Below are 22,030 nucleotides of genomic sequence, written 5' to 3'. Positions count from 1 at the left end.
AATACAAAAAAAATTAGCCAGGTGTGGTGGCGGGCGCCTATAGTCCCAGCTACTCAGGAGGCTGAGGCAGGAGAAAGGCATGAATCCGGGACGCACAGCTTGCAGTGAGTCGAGATCGTGCCACTGCAGTCCAGCCTGGGCAACAGAGCAAGATTCTGTCTCAAAAAAAAAAAAGAAAATTTGGATATTGAGAATGAAGGAAATATCAGAAAGATTTTTGTAAAATAACATAAAAATGTTAAATCGCAGAACTAGTGAATTTTGTATTAAAGACTGAAGAAAATATCCAATTTAAAAGGTGCATAAAATTTAAAAGGAACAATTATATACCGCCCCCTACTACCCCTACCCTCCTTAACTCCACCACTGCACAGTTGCATCCCCACCTCCACACAGAAAACCACCCTTAAAAACTCTGAGAAAATTATTTCAGGCCTTCTTCTATACACACACATACACACACACATATAAAGCAATGCATGTATGTGTGTGTTTACATATAATTTTTTAAAATAAAAAAATTAATGATGCGTACTGATCTATATCTTGCTTAATTTTTAGATCAATTTTTTCTTTTTTTTGCGGGGGGGATGGAGTCTCACTCCGTCTCCCAGGCTGGAGTGCAGTAGCATGATCTCAGCTCACTGCAAATTCCGCCTCCCGGGTTCAGGTGATTCTCCTGCCTCAGCCTCCCAAGTAGCTGGGATTACAGGCGCCCACCAGTCCTGGCTAATTTTTTGTATTTTTAGTAGAGATGGGGTTTCACCGTGTTCACCAGGATGGTCTCGATCTCCTGACCTTGTGATCTGCCCACCTCAGCCTCCCAAAGTGCTGGGATTGCAGGCATGAGACACCGCGCCCAGCCAGTTTTTTCTGTTTCTTGAGACAGAGTCTCATTCTGTCATCCAAGCTGGAGTGCAGTGGCATGATCTTGCCTCACTGCAACCTTGACTTCCCAGGTTCCAGCAATTCTCCTGCCTCAGCCTCCCAAGTAGCCGGGACTGCAGGTGTGCACCACCACCCCCAGCTGATTTTTTTGTGTGCGTGTTTTTAGTAGAGATGGGGTTTTGCCATGTTGGCCAGGCTGGTCTCGAACTCCTGGCCTCAAGTGATTTCGCCCACCCAGGGCCTCCTAAAGTTCTGAGATTACAGGCATTAGCCACCATGCCTGGCCATTTTTATATGAATTTTATAAGCATATTAAATAATTTTTGTTGTAAAAATGTGAAGATCACACAGAACAAAGTATTCACATCCCACCCCTCCTTTTCCACTCCCCTTCTTAGAATCACGGTTTTAGATCTTTTTCTGTGCATTTGTTCCCATCTAAAAATACACAGCTTTATTTTTTGATAAATGCCCAATATATAAAGTGATGATTAACCTTATTAATGATTGAGACAATGCAAATTAAAACCGCAAGATTGGCAAAAATTAATAAATTTAAGGGCACCCAGTATTGATAAGGATATAGGACAAAAAGGAAACTCTTTTACACAGTTGGTGAAAAGTGTAGTTGGTACAACCACCTTAAAAAATAGCTTTGAAATATCAGATACAGCTGAAAACGCACATACCCTCTGACCAAGCAATTTCATTCATAGATAAATATCCTAAACATTTCTGGCATACATGTCCCAGGAGCCATGTACAACAATGCTCTTGGCAGCATTGTGAGTAACAGCAAAAATCTGGATACAACCTAAATGCCCCTTCCCAAGAAAATGGGTGACTAAATTATGTGATCATCATAGATTAGAACACAACTATGAAAATTAATAGTGGTCCTGGATGAATCTCAGGAACATAATATTAAAGCAAAGCCCCTAAGTACAAAAGAATGCATGGTGTTTCCAAAAAAGTGTGTGAGAACTAAAAGAATGATTGCTTAGTGATGTATACACCGGCAGGCATTCTATAAAGAAAAGCCAGCCGGGCACGGTGGCTCACGCCTATAATCCCAGCACTTTGGGAGGCTGAGGCGGGCAGATCATTTGAAGTCAGGAGCTCAAGGCCAGCATGACCAACATGGTGAAACCCCGTCTCTACTAAAAATACAAAAAATTAGCCAGGAGCGATGGTACATGCCTGTAATCCCAGCTACATGGAGGCTAAGGCAGGAGAATCGCTTGAACCTGGGAGGCAGAGGTTGTAGTGAGCTGAGATGGCACCACTGCACTCCAGCCTGGGTGTTAGAGTGAGACTCTGTCTGAAAAAAAAGAGCAAAGGGAAGGGTGGTTGTAGACACTGCCAAGGAGGGAAAAGACGGCAGTTCATGCAAGGCTCTGAAGACCAGAGTGGGTGCTCCAGATTTTGTCCTAAAGGTTGGGGGTGAGGGTAGGGGGAGTTTGAGCAGAGGTTTGTGGGACTCTGTGTTTTTTTTTCTTTTTTTTTTTTTGAGACAAGGTCTTGTTTTGTCATCCAGGCTGGAGTGCAGTGGTGCACTCATGGCTCACTGCAGCCTCAACTTCCTGGGCTCAAGCAATCCTCCCACCTCAGCCTCCCAAGTAGCTGGGACTACTGGTGTGTACCACCAAACCCAGCTAATTTTTGTATTTTTTATAGAGACAGAGTTTTGCCATGTTGCCCAGCCTAGTCTCAGTCTCAAATTCCTGGTCTCAAGTTATCTGCCTGCCTTGGCCTCCAAAAGTTCTGGAATTATAGTCATGCACCACCGCGCCTGGCCCCCAAATTACTTTTTAAGGTATGATTTACATGCAGTAAGACTTACAGTTCCTTTTTTTTTTCTTTTTTTTTGAGATGGAGTCTTGCTCTGTGGCCCAGGCTGCAGCGTGCAACCTCCGCCTCCCAGGTTCAAGCAATTCTCCTGCCTCAGCCTCCCAAGTAGCTGGGACTACAGGCACGTACCACCATGCCCAGCTAATTTTTGTAGTTTTTTTTTTTTTTTAGTAAAGACAGGGTTTCATCATGTTGGCCAGGCTGCTCTTGAACTCCTGACCTCAGGTGATCCACCTACCTCGGCCTCTCAAAGTGCTGGGATTACTGCCCAGCCAAGACTTACAGCTCTTAAGTGAGTTCAGTAACTTTGGACACCTGTAATCACCACCCAAAACAAGATAAAAATCATTTCCATCACTCCAGAAGGCTCCCTCATGCTCCTTTTCAATCAATCCAGTCAAACCCCTGACCATCCCACTGGCTAGAAGCCATATTTTAACATATCACCCTTGAATCATTTTTTTCTAGAACCTCTTATAAATGCATTCATAAAGTTTACCCAGCTTCTTTTGCTCAGAGGAATGTCTATAAGATTTATTGACGTTGCTGCTTGCGTCAGTAATTCATTTCTTGTATGCTGAATAGTAGTTTTTTGGTTTTTTTTTCTTTTTGAGACAGAGTCTTGCTCTGTCGCCCAGGCTGGAGTGCAGTGGCGTGATCTCGGCTCACTGCAAGCTCCGCCTCCTGGGTTCACGCCATTCTCCTGCCTCAGCCTCCCGAGTAGCTGGGACTACAAGCGCCCCGCCACCATGCCCGGCTAATTTTTGTATTTTTAGTAGAGACAGGGTTTCACTGTGTTAGCCAGGATGGTCTCGATCTCCTGACCTCGTGATCCGCCCACCTCGGCCCCCCAAAGTGCTGGGATTACAGGCGTGAGCCACCGTGCCCGGCTGCTGAGTAGTATTTCATTGTATAAACATACTATAATTTGTTCATCTGTTCTCCTGTTGGTACATTATGGCATTTCGTTATTATGGGTACGTTATGGAGTGAGTCTACACACCTAGGCTATATGGTATGGCCTATTGCTCCTAGGCTACAAACACGTACATGTTATTGCCTTGAATGATGTGGACAATTGTAACACAATGGTATTTGTGTATCTCAACATATCTTTATTTTTTTTTTGAGATGGAGTCTCGCTCTTTCACCCAGGCTGGAGTGCAGTGGTGGAATTTCGGCTCACTGCAATCTCTGTCTTCCAGGTTCAAGCAATTCTCCTGCCTCAGCCTCCCGAGCAGCTGGGATTACAGGCGTGCATCACCACACTCGGCTAATTTTTTTATTTTTAGTAGAGATGGGGTTTCATCAAGTTGGCCAGGCTAGTCTTGAACTCCTGGCCTCAGGTGACTCACCCACATCAGCCTCCCAAAGTGCTGGGATTACAGGTATGAGCCACCGTGCTCGGCCCTTCTTTTGGTTTTAATTGAATTTCCCCAATGGCTAATGAGCTGAGCATCTTTTCATGCTGAGTTTTTGGGCTTGTTTGTTTTCTGGAAACAGGGTTTTGCTCTGTTGCCCAGGCTGGAGTGCAGTGGCACAATCATGGCTCACTGCAGCCTCCATCTCCTGGGCTCAAGCAATCCTCCCACCTCAGCCTTCCAAAGTACTGGGATTGGCCGGGTGTGGTGGCTCACGCCTGTAATCCCAGCACTTTGGGAGGCCGAGGCAGGCAGATCACTTGAGGTCAGTAGTTCAAGACCAGCCTGGCCAACATGGTAAAACCTCGCTTCTACTAAACATACAAAAAAAAGAAAAAATTAGCTGGGCGTGGTGGCACGCGCCTGTAGTCTCAGCTACTCACGAGGCTGAGGCAGGAAAATTGCTTGAACCTGGGAGGTGGAGGTTGTAGTGAGCCGAGATTTCACCACTGCACTCCAGCCTGGGCGACAGAACAAGACTCAGTCTCAAAACAACAGCAACGACAACAACAAGTTCTGAGATTACAGACATGAGCCACCACACCCAACCCGGAGCTTCATTTTTTCATAGATTTTACATGAGCTGTTGGCAGAGACCAAACTAGAAGGATTCAAAAGAAGAATAGGGGATCTCCAGGCTAGCAGGGGAGGTGGGGAGCAGAGATTAGAATGGGGATATATTTTGACATTATAGCTGTTGAGAATTCCAAAAAAATTGGCTATGGGCTGTGAGACAAAGAAAAGAATCAGAAGGTGTTCAGTTTTTGCCCTGAAACAGCTGGGGGACCCTGGTGAGAAGAGAAGCAGGTGTGGAGGGGACAATCCACTTTACTCTGGCAAGATGAGTTGTCTCTTAGGCACTGAAATGGTGATGTTGAGAAAATAAATTGGCAAGTCTGGACCTCAGAAAAGTGGTCACAGATGGGGCCTTCTACCTGTGGGATGGACAAGGTCCCCAGAGCAGTGGATGTCTACCTTGGCTGGACTTTGGAATCACCTGGGGAGCTTTAAAATACTTATGCCCAGGTCCCAGCTACGGGGTTTCTGATATAATTGATCTGTGGGCATGGCTCAGGCATCAGAACTGTTAGAAGTTTCCCTGCTGATTCTCAAGTACAACCAGGGTTGAGATCCTGTTGTGGGAGCCAGTGTAGATAAAGGAGAGAAGTTTGAGGGAGTCCCAAGCACTCTCTGTGTTGCCCGCGGGTCTGCGGGAGCCAGTGTAGATAAAGGGGAGGATTTTGAGGGAGTCCCGGGAACTCCGTGTTGCCCGCGGCTCTGCTTTGCAGCGTTGGCTCCATCTGCTGCATCGTATTCACTGCAGCTCAGCTTCCCAAGCAGCTCAGGTCAAGCTCATCAGTATCCATGGATTGGCGAATTCATTGACTCCGGAGAGTCACCCAGTTGTTGAATCGCAAAGTTTGAACTGACTTTTTTTCTTTGAGACGGAGTCTCGCTCTGTAACCCAGGCTGGAGTGTAGTGGCCAGTCTTGGCTCACTGCAATCTCCGCCTCCCAGGTTCAAGTGATTCTCCTGCCTCAGCCTCCCGAGTAGCTGGGATTACAGGTATGTACCACCACACCCGGCTAACTTCTGTATTTTCAGTAGAGATGCCATGTTGGTCAAGCTGGTCTTGAACTCCTGACCTCAGGTGATCCGCCTGCCTCGCCTCCCAAAGTGCTGGGATTATAGGTGGGAGCCACCGTGCCTGGCCTGAACTCATTTTAAAGGTCATTGAGCCTCTACGATACCCCACCAGGACTCACCAGGATGCCTATGGGGGACGTCACTGTGGCTCAGTTGAAGGGGCTGCGTGAGGACAAGTCAGAGAAGAGCCTTCCAGGTAGAGCCTGGGTGGAGAGCTGGAGACACAAGAGACCATTTGGAGCAGGGCATCTGCTGGGGGTGCAGAGCAACTCAGAGGCCCCTCTGAATGTTCTTTTCTGGGATAAGCCCTGCAGGGGATATTTATGCTATTCCTGGAGACATCATGGCCTTTCTTAGAAAAGGAAGCCTTTTTGCTCTTTCAATTTCTATTCTGTGGGTTGGTTTCCTAGGGATATTGCTCCTGGTGAGAAGACCTGCTCATGGACCTCCCCCAAACCTGGCCAGGACCTGTTCATAGAATCTTCCGCCACCCAGATCTGAGCTTGGAGCCCAGACCAGTACCTTCAGAAGTTGTTCGCATTGCTTTGAAAGAATGTAATGTCAGAAATGCTTAGAGAAAGAGTATACTTTTCTCTCCAAATACAATTTCTATAATTAGGCAAGGCGCAGTGGCTCATGCCTGTAATCCCAGCACTTTGGGAGGCGGGCGGATCACTTAAGGTCATGAGTTCGAGACCGGCCTGGCCAACATGGCGAAACCCCATCTCTACTAAAAACACAAGAATTAGCTTGGCGTGGCGGTGGGTGCCTGTAATCCCAGCTACTTGGGAGTCAGGAGAACCACTTGAGCCCAGGAGGCGGAAGTTGCAGTGAGCCAAGATCACACCACTACACTCTACCCTGGGTGACAGAGTGAGACTCCATCTGAAAAAAAAAAAAAAATTCAATAAATAGACTCTCATCATGGATCCATTGTACTTACACAAATTCAGCTACATACATGCATTAAGAAAAAAGAAAAATGGGCCGTGCGCGGTGGCTCACTCCTGTAATCCCAGCACTTTGGGAGGCCGAGGCAGGTGGATCACGAGGTCAGGAGATCGAGACCATCCTGGCTAACACGGTGAAACCCCGTCTCTACTAAAAATACAAAAATTAGCCGGGCGTGGAGGCGGGTGCCTGTAGTCCCAGCTACTCGGGAGGCTGAGGCAGGAGAATGGGGTGAACCCGGGAGGTGGAGCTTGCAGTGAGCCGAGATCGCGCTACTGCACTCCAGCCTGGGCAACAGAGCAAGACTCTGTCTCAAAAAAAAAAGAAAAAGAAAAATGGTGGTGGTGGAGATGATAAAACACACAATCATTTGGAGAACTTTCACCTTTTCAGAATGTATTTGGTAATGCAGTTTGGTCCTCCCAATAACTCTATGGAAGTCATTTATTTTTTCCCCCATTTCACTGAGGTTCAGAGGTTTTTTTCATTTCTGAGTCCAAGGTCTCAGACCCAGAAACAGTGACGTTCAGAGGCAACCCCAGGTCTTCTGACACTTCTGCCCAGGGACCTACTTCCGTCTTGCCAGAAAACCAGAGCATTTGCAATTCAAGCAAAGCCTAAAGACTCTCAATGCACCAGCCTGTCCTTCTGCAGCCCGGGAGTCATGCTCCCAGCAGAAGAGGCAGTGAGAAAGCGAGGGGCTCAGAAATGTACCCACTGGATGGATCAAGGCCATAGGAGCGTATGAAAGAATTTGCTGGTTCTCCCTCCATGGCCATCCCCACTTTTGTGTAGTAATAGATGTGGACACATGGCCAACCAGAACAAAGAGCTCAGCTCCCCTGTGCGGTCTCGTGACTAAATCCTAGGCTATGGGGAGAGCATTCCAGTGATGTGAGAGGCCTCGGAGGCACATCCTTCTGGGGCGTGCCTTCCCTTCATTGTCTCCCCTTTCTGCTGGCTGGATGGGGATGTGGAGGAGAGGACCCTTGGACCATGGGGATGGGAGCAACGTGCCAGGCATGGCAGCGCAATAGAGGTGGGTTCTACCAAAGGAGCTGCTCTACCCATCCTGGACTGCTTCTATCTGGATGTTGGTACGTGAGAAAGACATGGATTACTTTCTTTCTTTTCTTTTTTTTTTTTTTTTTTTTGAGATGGAGTTTTGCTCTTGTTGCCCAGGCTGGAGTGCAATGGCGTGATCTCAGCTCACCACAACCTCTGCCTCCCGAGTTCAATCGATTCTCCTACCTCAGCCTCCAGCTAATTTTGTATTTTTAGTAGAGACGGGGTTTCTCCATGTTGGTCAGGGGTCAGGCTGGTCTCAAACTCCCGACCTCAGGTGATCCGCCCACCTCAGCCTCCCAAAGTGCTGGGATTACAGGCATGAGCCACCGCCCCTGGCCAGGCCAAGATTTTTTAAATGGCAGCTCCCTGGAGGCTGAGGAAAAAGGGAGAGGGGAGCCACAGCTCATACTTAAAATGGTTCTCGCAATCGTACTGTAGCCGAAGGGAATTCTGAGTCACTTTCTCTGGTCTGTTCCTGCAGCCCCCAGCCCTGCTGCACCAGCCTCAGAAGGGAAGGCTGGAATTCCTTTCTGGGAGGGCTTTCCTTTGCAAACCCTGTGAATCTGAGGAGCCCTGTTTTCTCTGTAAATAGAGCAAGTGTCCCCACTGTGACCTAGCAACATCCTCCCAATGCACATGGTGTCTGACGCAAAATGGAGGAGAAGGAGTTGGCAGAAAGAAGGGAAGAAAAGGTGGGAAGAAGCCTAGAGAAGAATATTTAGGTTTGAAGAGTGTGATTTACTGTTACCTTGAACCCAAATTATTTTGTTTGTTTGTTTGTTTGTTTGGGGCATTTGCCAAATGTGTAGTCTCACCGTGTAACTGACTGTGTGGATGAAGCCATGTTCATCCACTGAGCTCTGAGCCATCAGGAGCCCTGGGAGGTGAGTGCGTCTCACATATCATCTTAAATCACCAGGGCTAGACCAGAAACTAAACACTTCCCCAGGTTTTCTCTCACTATTTCCTTCAGGATCAGATGCTGCCTACAGCCAGAGACCTAATGCTGTCTTTCCAGCTAAACTGGGATCTCCATGAAGTCGGGATATATCTTATTTGTTTTTATAATCTCAACAATCTGGCATAGAGTACCAGGCAAAGAAGGAATGAATGAGTGAGTGTGTAGATAAATGGACAGATGGAGGGATAGATGGAGGGATGGATGGAAGGATGGGTGGGTGGGTGGGTGGATGCATAGATGGATGGATGGATGGATGGATAAATGTTGGAAGGAAGGAAAGAAAAGAAGGAAGAATGGACAGATAGGTGAATAAATGATAGAAGGAAGGAAGAAAGGAAGGGTGAAGGAATGGATGGATAGGTGGGTGGATGGATGGATAGATAGAGGGATGGTGAATACGTGGATGGACAGATGAATGCATGGATGATAGACAATAATAGTGAATAGTTTTGAGCTCTTATTATGTTCCAGGCAATTTACACAGATAATTTCATTTAATTTTCCTCCATGACTTTCAACATATGCAAAATAAACTTCAGGAAGGTGAAATCACGTACCTGAAATGGCACGAAAGTCGATTAGACTCCTGAGTGAGTGTTCTAAACTATTATACCCTAATGCTGAATAAATGAATGAATACATGAAGAAATGACTTATCTGTATATAAATTTTGCTCCAAGGATATACAAAAGCTAGGCCAGGCATGGCATGGTGGCTCATGCCTGTAATCCCAGCACTTTGGGAGGCCAAGGCAGGTGGATCACATGAAGTCAGGAGTTCGAGACCAGCCTGACCAACATGATGAAACCCTGTTTCTACTAAAAATACAAAATTAGCAGGGCGTGGTGGTGCATTCCTGTAATCCCAGCTACTTGGGAGGCTAAGACAGGAGAATCACTTGAACTCGGGAGGTGGAGGTTGCAGTGAGCCAAGATCATGCCATTGTACTCCAGCCTGGGCAACAGAGCAAGACTGTCTCCAAAAAAAAAAAAAAAAAAAGTTAATTCTGCTCACTTCTCTCTAAAGTGACAGGCCAAGGTTTAAGAAAATCTGTATATTTGGATTTTCTGCCAGTTATAAGTGAATATTATGTGGTGAAGTGGCACATTCACAGGGGAAGGACACTTCCAGAAGGCTAATTCTGAGAAGATTCTGGGCTTTTCCCACTCACCCAACCTGATAATTAATAGGAGCCAGGAAGAAGCCCCTGAATTTCTAAGTGCCGATTCCCGCTGTACCAGCACTCCAAACATCTGAAGGAAAAACAGTTTGTTAATTGCTGTCTAGACAGTTTATTGCGGCAATAAGATCAAAACCAAGAATCCTGAGGTTTGTGGTATGAATCATGCAGACTAAACAATTGTTTTATTGCATTTACAGAGAACTTGATTTATAACTGCACTGGGTAATAAAATTCCTTCATGGTTTATCCGAAATAATTTTGCTTCTTTTACACCACTCTGTGATAATCCCACCTCTCTGGGCTGTTAAAATGTGTTCTCTGTGACATCCAAACAGTTTCTTATCAGGTATCTTGCTGTCATCAAGTAACACATGAGGGCCAGGGTTCAATCCATCCTGGCAGAGCCCTGGTGGAGGGTGGTGGCCTGGCTGGGGTGGCCTTTGTAACCCTGCTGTCATGGCTGCATCTGCTCAAACCAACAGGCGAGTAAGAGTAGGCAGCTCCTGGGCTGGGCAGCCTGTCTGCTTTGTTGGCAAAGGCCTGGTGTGATGGCTTCCTCTTTACGCCACTGACTGGATTTTGGATGAATTGGACAAAGCTGGCCAGTTCTTTGGTGCCTCTGAGACCCCAGGACCAACATCTTTCTTGTGTGCAAACATACCTGTACACTGACAGCCTGTGGAATAGAGAAGGAAGGAACAAGCCCACATGCATACACGCATCACTTCCCTCCATCCCTGCAGCTGTCCAGGGAAATGGGGCTGCCCAACACAAAACATCGGGAAAAGCTCAGGAAGTCTAAGCTCAGGCTTGCTTAAGGCCAAATGTCAGGAAGTCTCAGTTCTTCAGGCTCCAAGTCCAGTGCTCTTTGGCACCAGAAGTGACTTAAAAGATCAGCATCAGATAAATTGCAGTATCTCTCCTAAACGAGATCTGCCTGTTTTGCTCTTCCCTTTTCACCCCTGCACTGGCTGCAGCAAACTCCATGATGAAGGGCAGCAAACTCCCAACCCCTGGAATCAAACGTGAAATTTAAAAATTGACATGAAGCTGGGCGCGGTGGCTCACGCCTGTAATCCCAGCACTTTGGGAGGCCGAGGCGGGCAGATCACCTAAGGTCGGGAGTTCGAGACCAGCCTGACCAACATGGAGAAACCCTGTCTCTACTAAAAATACAAAATTAGCTGGGCGTGGTGGCGCACGCCTGTAATCCCAGCTACTCGGGAGGCTGAGGCAGGAAAATCGCTTGAACCCGGGAGGCGGAGGTTGTGGTGAGCCGAGATTGCACCACTGCACTCCAGCCTGGGCAACAAGTGTGAAACTCTGTCTCAAAAAAAAGAAAAAAGAAAAAAAATTGACATGAAATTCACATAACATAAAATTAACCATTTTAAAGTGACCAATTCAGGAGCAGTTGGTATATTCACAGTATTGCGTTATCACCACCTCTGTCCAGCACCGAAACATTTTCATCACCCCAAGTGGAAACCGTGTAGCCAGTAGGCAGTCGCTCCCCAGTTCTACCCTAGCCCCCAGGACCTGGCAACCGCCAATCGGCATCTCGCCATGGCCTTACCTATTCTGGTTAAAGTGAACAGATTCAGATTCCTATTTCTTATCAACAAAATCAAATGTGGCTTTTTGTGTCTGGCTTCTTTTACTTACTGTAATGTTTTCAAGGCTCATCCACATTGTAGCACGTATCAGTATCTCATTCCATTTTATGGCTGAATAATTGTCTGTGGTACAACAGAACTTATACAGTACTTCATCTCATTTCTGCACTCACCAGTTGATGGACATTTGGGATATTTACACCTTTTGGCTATTGTGTATAGTGCTACTCTGAACACGTATGTACGTGTATTTGAATGCCTGTTTTCTTATTTTTTGTTTTTTTGTTTTGTTTTGTTTTGTTTTGTTTTGTTTTTTTGAGATGGAGTCTTGCTGTATCACCCAGGCTGGAGTGCAGTAGCATGATCTCGATCTCGGCTCACTATAACCACTGCCTCCTGGGTTCAAGTGATTCTCCTGCCTCAGCCTCCTGAGTAGCTGGGACTAGAGGTGCGTACCACCAAGCCAGGCTAATTTTTGTATTTTTAGTACAGACGGGGTTTCACCGTGTTCGCCAGGATGATCTCAATCTTCTGACCTCGTGATCCACCTGCCTTGACCTCCCAAAGTGCTGGGATTATAGGCATGAGCCACCGCGCCTGGCCTGTTTGTTTGTTTTTGAGATGGAGTCTCACTGTCGCACAGGCAAGAGTGCAGTGGAGCAATCTTGGCTCACTGCAACCTCCGCCTCCCGGGTTCAATCTATTCTCCTGCCTCAGCCTCCTGAGTAGCTGGGATTACAGGCGTGTGCCATCATGCCTGGCTAATTTTTGTAGTTTTAGTAGAGATGGGGTTTTGCCATGTTGGCCAGACTGGTCTCGAACTCCTGACCTCAGGTAATCCAACCACCTTGGCCTCCCAAAGTGCTGGGATTACAGGCATGAGCCACCATACCCAACCTGGGTTTTTGTGTTCTGTTTGGTTTTGTTGATAATAACCATCCTAGTGGATGTGAAATGATGCCTTGTGATTTTGAAGTGCATTCTCTAGTGACTAATGATGCTGAGCATCTTGTCATGTGCTTTCTGGCCTTTTGTACATCTTCTTTGGAAGAAAATATCTATTCAAGTCCTTTGCCCATATTTTGACTGAGTTGTTTGTCTTGTTGTTGCTTTGCAAGAATGCCTTACAAATTTTAGATCCCAGGCTGGGAGTGGTGGCTCACACCTGTAATCCCAGCACTTTGGGAGGCCGAAGTGGTTGGATCACCTGAGATCAGGAGTTCAAGACCAGCCTGGCCAACATAGTGAAACACCATCTCTACTAAAAACACAAAAATTAGCCAGGCGTGGTGGCTACAAAAAAAATTTAGATCCCAGACCCTTATCAGATTTATGATTGATTTGCGAATATTTTCTCCCATTCTGTGAGTTGTCTTTTTCCTTCCTTGATAATGTCCTTTGATGTACAAAAGTTTTTAAATTTAATGAAGTCCCGGCCGGGTGTGGTGGCTCACTTCTGTAATCCCAGCACTTTGGGAGGCCAAGGTGGGACAATCACTTGAGGTCAGGAGTTTGAGACCACCCTGGCCAACATGGTGAAACCGGGTGTGGTGGTGCACAGCTGTATTCTCAGCTACTTGGGAGGCTGAGGCAGGAGAATTGCTTGAACCTGGGGAACAGAGGTTGTAGTGAGCCGAGACAGCAGTAAGACTCTGCCTCAAAAAAAAAAAAGAAAAGAAATTAATGAAGTCCAATTTATTTCCTTTTGTTCCTTGTGCTTTATTTTTTATTTTGTTGCTCATGTTTTGTGTGTTCATATCTAAGAACCCATTGCCAATTCCAAGTTCATGGAAATTTCCTCCTGTGTTTTCTCCTAAGAGTGTTATGGCTTTAGCTCTTCTGTTTAGGTTATTGATTCATTTCAAATTAATTTTTGCATATGGTGTGAGGGAAAAGTCCACTTTCATTCTTTTACTTATGGATTTCCAATCGTTGCAGCACAAATACTAAATTTGGTGAATACTCTTCCGGTCTGATTTTCTAGGACACCTCTGAGGCATAGTTGAAGAACATTTCCTCTAGTGCTTTAGGATTCAAAATCTCATTCTTCCCCATTACTGCTCTGAGACCCTCATGGACCACTTCGCCACTCAGAGCCTTTGTGGCCTTAGCTATAAAAAGGGAGTTATACTGATAGCATATTCCTCCTGAGGTTTCTTTGAGCACCCAATAAGAATTGGTGCAAAGTGCTTGATATCTAAGTTAGACAATGGTAGATAATTATTACTCATCCTACCACTGTCATCAAGATGAGGCAACTCTGTCTGAGGATGGCAAGAAACCATTCCCATTCTGGGATATGAAAACGATAATATCAGCAGCAGTGCTGTCACAATGTTCCTGACAGAACAGCAGCTTATAGAGGACAGTGAGGGTTTCCTGCTTCTGGACATGTGCTACACCCAGTACACACGCTGGCTTATTTAAATTCATTACCATAAGCCTCAGAGTGTGTTTGGGAGCCTTTGTTTGGGGAGTCATCAAAGTTATAGAGAACATCAGATGGGAATCTAAAATCAAGCCAGGCACAGTGGCTCATGTCTGTAATCCCAGCACTTTGGGAGGCCAAGGCGGGTGGATCACTTCAGGTCAGGAGTTCAAGATCAGCCCGACCAACATGGTGAAACCCTGTCTCTACTAAAAATACAAAAAATTAGCTGAGCGTGGTGGCATGCACCTGTAATCCCAGTTACTCAGGAGGCTGAGGCAGGATAATCACTTGAACCCAGGAGGCAGAGGTTGCAGTGAGCTGAGATTGTGCCACTGCACTCCAGCTTGGGTGACAGAGCGAAACTCTGTCTCAAAAAAAAAAAAAGAAAGCAGGCGAGAAGAGAGTTCGTCTGGATTAAGTCTTTTCAAGGCATTGAAAAAAAAAGGTGTGGGGGGGCAGTGGAGCAGCATTGCATTCCACAATAACACATTTATTCTATCTTCAGGTGTCACTTTCCCTCCAAAGCCTTCCCTTTTCACCACTGCAGTTGATCCATCCAGACCCTTGCAGACCCCACCCCCACTGGCTGCCTCATTCTCTCCAAAGCACTTATCCTTGTCTAATACAATGTAGATTTTGTTCATTTGTTCACACCCACCCCACTTTCACTAGAGTTCAGATGGTTTGGCGACAGAGATTTTTTTTTACCACTCTGTACATAGCACCCATGCATTTCTGGAGGTAATGTCACGTGTTACAGCCACTCTGGAAAACTGTCAGTTTGTTAAAAAAAAAAAAACTAAACATGCAGTACCACATGACCCAGCAGTTGCGCTCCGGGGCACTTATCACAGAGAAATAAAAACTGTGTTCAGCTGGGAGCAGTGGCTCACGCCTGTAATCCCAGCACTTTGGGAGGCTGAGATGGGCGGATCACCTGAGGTCAGGAATTTGAGACCAGCCTGGCCAACATGGTGAAACCCCGTCTCTACTAAAAATACAAAAATTAGCCAGGCATAGTGGCAGGTGCCTGTAATCCCAACTACTCGGGAGGCTGAGGCAGGAGAATCACTTGAACCCGGGAGGCAGAGGTTGCAGTGAGCCGAGATCGCACCGCTGCACTCCAGCCTGGGTGACAGAATGAGACCCTGTCTCAAAAAAAAAAAAAAAAAAAAAATCTCCGGGCATGGTGGCACACACCTATAGCCCCAGCTACTCAGGAGGCTGAGGTGGGAGGATTGATTGAGCTCAGGAGTCGGAGGCTGTAGTGAGCCCAGATAGTGCCACTGTACTGCCGTCTGAGTGACAGAGCGAGACCCTATCTCAAAAAATAAATAAATACAGAGAAAAAGCTGATCTCAAAAGATTATATACTATATGACTCCATTTATGTAACATTCTTGAAATGACGAAACTATAGAAATGTAGAACAGATTAGTGGTTGCCAGGAATGAAGGAGGGGTTAGGCCTGGAGGGAAGTGGGTGTGGCTATAAAAGTATAACATGAGGAATCTTTATGATAATGGAAATGTTCTGTATCTTGAATATATCAATGTCAACATCCTGGTTATGATACTGTACTAAAGTTTTGTAAGAGGTTTCCATTAGGAGAACTGGGTAAAGTTTACACAGTATCTATTATTTCTTAAAAGTACACATGAGGCCGGGCACGGCGAGGTGGCTCACACCTGTAAGCCCAGCACTTTGTGAGGCTGAGGCGGGTGGATCACGAGGTCAGGAGATCAAGACCATCCTGGCTAACACGGTGAAACCCCGTCTCTACTAAAAGTACAAAAAATTAGCCAGGCGTGGTGGCGGGCGCCTGTAGTCCCAGCTACTCGGGAGGCTGAGGCAGGAGAATGGCGTGAACCCGGGAGGCAGAGCTTGCAGTGAGCTGAGGTCACACCACTGCACTCCAGCCTGGGCGATAGAGCGAGACTCCGTCTCAAAAAAAAAAAAAAAAAAAAAGAAGAAGAAAAACAAAAAAAAATGTGAATCTTCGCTTCAAAATAAAAAGTAAAAAAAAAAAAAAAAAAAACCCTACATACCTATATATGACATTGAAGTACATGAAACTGTCATGTTTATATGTCAAAAATGGTCTCATATTGGTACTTTCACATGGCTCAACCTAATATTTTTTCCTACTCAGTTGGTAGCATCCAAAACAGTCTGGCAGCTTGTGTTTTTCTTTCTTTTTTTGAGACAAAGTTTCACTCTTCACTCTTGTCTCCCAGGCTAGAGTGCAATGGCATGATCTTGGCTCACTGCAACCTCTGCCTTCCGGATTCAAGCTATTCTCCTGCCTCAGCCTCCCAAGTAGCTGGGATTACAGGCATGTGCCACCACGCCCGGGTTATTTTTATATTTTTAGTAGAGACGGGGTTTCACCACGTTGGTCAGGCTGGTCTCAAACTCCTGACCTCAAGGTGATCCAACCACCTCAGCCTCCCATGCTGGGATTACAGGCGTGAGCCACCGCACCTGGCCCCAGCTTGTGTTTTTAATTTCAGTCTATCTCTCACAGAATGTCAGTTCAAACACAGCTGCCTCCAGCTGCAGAAATACAATGCCATATCATAGATGACCATAACTTATTTTGACAGCTTCCTCTAATGGACATTTGGGTTGTTTCTATTACTTAGCTTTTACATACAATGTTGCAATGTATTTCCTTATACGTACATCACTTATCATATATTCCTGAGTGGGGGTCTATAGGATAAATTTCCAGTAGAATAATTGTTAGGTCAAAGAGTATGTACATCTCAGTCAGGCATGGTGGTTCATGCTTGTAATCCCAGCACTTTGAGACGCCAAGGCAGGTGGATCCCTTGAGAGTTCAAGACCAGCCTGGCCAACATGGCGAAACCCCGTCTCTCATAAAAATACACACACACACAAAAAATTAGCTGGGCATGGTGGCGCGCGCCTGTAGCCCCAGCTACTCTGGAGCCTGAGGCATGAGAATCACTTGAACCCAGGAGGTGAAGGTTGCAGTGAGCTGATCGTGCCACTGCACTCCAGCCTGGGCGATAGAGCGAGACCCTGTCTCAAAAGAAAAAAAAAAAGGAACGTGTATAGTTTCTATTTTAGTTTATGTTTCCAAATACTCCCAAGGAGACTAAAGCATTTTTAACTCCCACCCTCTTGGCAGTGTATGTCAGAGCCTGATTCCCCACACCCTGCAAAGACGGCATTATCAAAAGGTTGGATATCTGTTGATCTGATAAGGAAAAAAAAGATATACTAATTATATTTGCATTTTTCTTATAATGCCTGAGGTCAAGAATCTTTTCTTATACATGCCTGCTAGCTTCCTCTACAGTATTCATTTGCAATCTTCTAAAGGGGTTTTGTTTTATATTTCTTCCTATCATGTAGCTCAGTAAAGTATTTGCATACAGTGGAAGATTAAGAAATATTCAGATTACTAGACACACCTGGACACAGTCCCCACCTCTCAGCCATCTTCAGAGCCCCACCTCCACCTCCTCAGGCTACAATGGACAGAATGAAGTAGAGAAATCAGAAATGCGCTTTGAGATAAATAGTGAATGAAACCAGACAACAAGTGGGATCACGTCCACCACAAAACCAAGCATGACTTTGCCTACACTTTCAGGGATATTTTTACAGGGTGCTGCAGTACTAGATCCAAGGACGCAAGAGCTTTGCAAGAACCAAAGAAAAATATCAAATCCTGGCTTACCAAAACAAATTTAAAAATAGACAGAGGCTGATGCAGTGGCTCATGCCTGTAATCCCAACATGTTGGGAGGCCAAGGCAGGAGGATGGCTTGAGGCCAGGAGTTGGAGGCCAGCCTGCGCAACATGACAAAACCCTGTCTCTACAAAAAATTGAAAAATTAGCTTGGTGTGGTGGTGCATGCCTGTAGTCCTAGTTACTTGGGAGGCAGAGGTGAGAAGCTGCCTGAGCCTATGAGTTTGAGACTGCAATGAACTATGATCACCCCACTGCACTCTAGTCTGTGTGACAGAGTGAGACCCTTCCTCTCTAAAAATTAAATAAAAATTTAATAAGTGATAAAATATACACAGAGAATTCACAAATGGCTACAAATTGTTACATCATACTAACTGGCATCTGCAACTGGTGGTTTTTAGAGGTCTTTAGATCACAAGAGCAAGCTGGGTGTGGTGGCTCACTCCTGTAATCCCAGCACTTTGGGAGGCCGAGGCGGGTGGATCACCTGAGGTCAGGAGTTCGAGACCAGCCTGGCCAATATGGTGAAACCCTATCCCTACTAAAAATACAAAAATTAGCCAGGTGTGATGGCACACACCTGTAAACCCAGCTACTTGGGAGGCTGAGGCAGGAGAATCACTTGAATCTGGGAGGCGGAGGTTGCAGTGAGCCGAGAACGCGCCACTGCACTCCAGCCTGGGCGACAGAGCGAGACTCCATCTCAAAAAAAAAAAAAATCACAAGAGCAAAATATTCTATCTGAGCAAAATTAGTAATTGCACACTTCAGAACATTTCAAAAATTACACACATTTGTTTAACTGAATGTGAAATATGGTCGTATTTTACTATATTAGGTGTCGTATATAGTAAGGCCCACCACAGCAAGAAAAGCCTGTGTTAACCACATTCCTAGGTGCCGCTAGAACTGCAGTGACCAGGCCGGCCGCGGTGGCTCACGCCTGTAATCCCAGCACTTTGGGAGCCTGAGACAGGCGGATCACGAGGTCAGGAGATCGAGACCATCCTGGCTAACACGGTGAAACCCTGTCTCTACTAAAAATACAAAAAAATTAGCCTGGCATGGTGGTGGGTGCCCGTAGTCCCAGCTACTCGGGAGGCTGAGGCAGGAGAATGGCATGTGAACCTGGGAGGCGGAGCTTGCAGTGAGCCGAGATCACACCACTGCGCTCCAGCATGGGTGACAAAGCGAGGCTGTGTCTCAAAAAAAAAAAAAAAAAGAACTGCAGTGATCAGGTGTGGGCTGCAGGAGAACACACTTGACCTATAGTCCCCATCTACCCATTTCCAGGCCCGCTGAAGCCACAGCCCTGAGCTTCGCTGTTTTGTTTTATACCACTTCCATTTCCTCCCCTGTAAAATAAAGCAATGATAGCAACCTGGACATAAAATTTCAGAAAGGATGGACAAAACAAGGTGTTCAGGATGGAACATCAGGCACAGTGGATGTCTAGATGGTGGATAAGACTTGGGTCAGGCCTCCTGCGGTGTTTCTCAAAGCTTTGAAAGGCCCCTGGTGGCATAAGAATGGTCTCTCCAAGCAAAATCCCTGGAAGAAAGTGTACCAGCCTACATTTTAAACAAGCGTGCCCAGGGCATATGAAAGTGCACTAAAATGTGTTTCTTACTTTTTTTTTTTTTTTTTTTTTTGAGACGGAGTCTCGCTCTTGTTGCCCAGGCTAGAGTGCAATGGCACGATCTCGGCTCACGGTAACCTTCGCCTCCCGGTTTCAAGTGATTCTCCTGCCTCAGCCTCCCGAGTAGCTGGGATTACAGGCATGTGCCACCACCCCGGGGTAATTTTGTATTTCTCCATGTTGGTCAGGCTGGTCTGGAACTCCCGACCTCAGGTGATCCCTCAGCCTCCCAAAGTGCTGGGATTACAGGCGTGAGCCACCACGCCCGGCCTTAAAATGTGTTTCATAACAGCTTTAATGAGATATACTTCATACTCAATTTACCTATCGAAAGTGACCAATTCAGTGGTCTTTAGTGTGCGCACAGTCATTGCAATGCTCACCATAATCTTTTTTTTTTTTTTTTTGAGATGGAGTTTCACACACTCTGTCACCCAGGCTGTAGTGCAGTGGCGCTATCTCAGCTCACTGCAACCTCTGCCTCCTGGGTTCAAGCGATTCTCCTGCCTCAGCCTCCCAAGTAGCTGGGATTACAGGCATGTGCCACCATTCCTGGCTAAGTTTGTAGTTTTAGTAGATATGGGGTTTTACAATGTTGGTCAGGCTAGTCTCGAATTCCTGACCTCAAGTGATCCACCTACCTCGGCCTCCCAAAGTGTTGGGATTACAGGCGTGAGCCACCATGCCCGGCCTCAAGTAAGAATTTTATTCTTTTCTCTTTTTTGCTGAATAGCTGAATATACTCTAAATTTTGAGACCACTGAATTTCAGGGCTTTTTTTTTTTTTTTTTTTTGAGACAGGGTCTCATTCTGTCACCCAAGCTGGTGTGCAGTGGCATGATCTCATGATCTCGGCTTACTGCAGCCTTGACCTCCTGGGCTCTGGTGATCCACCTCAGCCTCCTGAGTAGCTGGGACTACAGGCCCACAGTCACCACGCCTGGCTAACTTTTATCATTTTTGTAGAGATGGGGTTTCACCATGTGGCCCAGGCTGGTCTCAAACTTCTGGGCTCAAGCAATCCACCTGCCTCAGCCTCCCAGAGTGCTAGATTACAGGCATGAGCCACACACGAGTGCTAGATTACAGGCATGAGCCACACACTGGCCAGTTTGAGGTTTTGAAGCACTATCAGAGTATTTTGGTGTTTGTGGTTTTGTTTTTTAAAGAAATCCAGAATTTGAATAGAGTAGCCTGTGTTTGCACAGCCCCCAAGGTAGTCTCCTAAAGCCGGGAACATACATCTTCTTTTTTTTTTTTTTTTTTTTTTTTGAAACAAGGTCTCACTCTGTTGCCAGGGTGGAGTACAGTGGCGCCATCTTGGCCCACTGCAACCTCTGCCTCCCAGGTTCAAGTGATTCTCATGCCTCAGCCTCCTGAGTAGGTTGGGACTACAGGCTTGCGCCACCATACTCAGTAATTTTTGTATTTCTAGTAGAGACGGGGTTTCACCATGTTGGCTGGGCTGATCTGGATCTCCTGACCTCAAGTGATCTGCCTGCTTTGGCCTCCCAAAGTGCTGGGATTATAGGCAGGAGCCACCGCGCCCAACCTATAAGTCTTTTTAATAACCACTGTCCGGAGGGGACAACCACAGCTACCGTTGCTTTGTGCCACTTGCCTATGTCTTTCCAAATTTATCTTGTGGAACCCCCTCCATATGGGCGGTTACCACCCCTACTTGCCAGGAGGACATGGAGGCCCAGCCAGGTTAAGTCACTTATCCAAGTTCACTGGGACAACCAGAAGTTGCTCTGACTCTACAACCTACATTATTTAAGTTTGTGAAGTCTACAACCTTTCACCTTTGTCGAAAAGCTTGATGGATTTAATATGCTGGATGTATAAACATCTACATACACAGAAACATATGTATAGACATACATATGTAATATAATATAACAATATATGTCATACGTGATATAATATGGCAGAGTAACATAACAAAATTTGAGGAGTTGTTTATTTCACCCAGTCATCTAAGGTAAACAAGGAGACATTCATTGCAACATTCATTAAAACATTCATTGAAAAGTAATTATATAAACTTCCAAATCTAGGCCAGGTGCAGTGGGTGGCTTACACCTGCAATCCGAGCACTTTGGGAAGCCAAGGTGGGGGAGGATCACTTGAGGCCAGGAGTTTGAGAGCAGGCTGGGCAACATAGCAAGACCCTATCTCTAAAAAATATTTTAAAATTAGCCAAGTGCAATGGTGCCTGTCGTCCTAGCTACTCAGGAGGCTGGGACGGGAGAATCACTTGAACCTGGGAGGTCGAGGCTGCAGTGAGCCATGGTTGTGCCACTACACTCCAGCCTGGGCGACACAGTGAGACCCTATCTCATAAATAAATAACAAATAAGAAATATCCAAATGTCCTGGACAAGAGGCAGAGACTTCTCTTGACCCAATAACGGATCCAGAAGAAAATAGCGGAAGCTTCCTATTTTGAAAAATGGGTGGGACTCCAAGTGATATGAAACCTTTCACGTATTCATGAATGCTAACTGGAAAGATAGTTGGGAACATTCCAGAAGGTTATTCCTTCCCTCTTTCTCTCTCTCTTTTTCTCTCTGTCTCTTCTTCTCCCTCTCTCCTTGGGAGATCTTTGATAACCATCTTGGCCTTTGGAAACCTCTTTTATTAA

The 22,030-nt window shown here is 46.0% G+C and overlaps 1 long non-coding RNA gene across 1 annotated transcript in view, besides 1 other annotated feature; it reads left to right on the top strand.

Moving 5' to 3' along the window:
- Window positions 7,654-8,220: an enhancer, noted in NCBI's record as "H3K27ac-H3K4me1 hESC enhancer chr20:50478941-50479507 (GRCh37/hg19 assembly coordinates)". NCBI's record gives its function as "activates a minimal SCP1, AML or CMV promoter by ChIP-STARR-seq in primed H9 embryonic stem cells {active_cell/tissue: H9 hESC(primed)}" and the evidence as "EXISTENCE:reporter gene assay evidence [ECO:0000049][PMID:30033119]".
- LINC01429 (long intergenic non-protein coding RNA 1429) overlaps window positions 7,709-22,030 on the top strand; it is a 31,117-nt gene continuing 16,795 nt past the window's right edge. The window contains exon 1 of the long non-coding RNA NR_110016.1: window positions 7,709-7,797. This is a non-coding gene — a long non-coding RNA (long intergenic non-protein coding RNA 1429). The remainder of the gene's footprint in view (window positions 7,798-22,030) is intronic.

This window comes from Homo sapiens, chromosome 20 (genome assembly GCF_000001405.40).
Source record: "Homo sapiens chromosome 20, GRCh38.p14 Primary Assembly".
NCBI lineage: Eukaryota > Metazoa > Chordata > Mammalia > Primates > Hominidae > Homo > Homo sapiens.
Note: the sequence above shows the minus strand (reverse complement) of the source record. Positions and strands in the feature narration are given on the sequence as shown.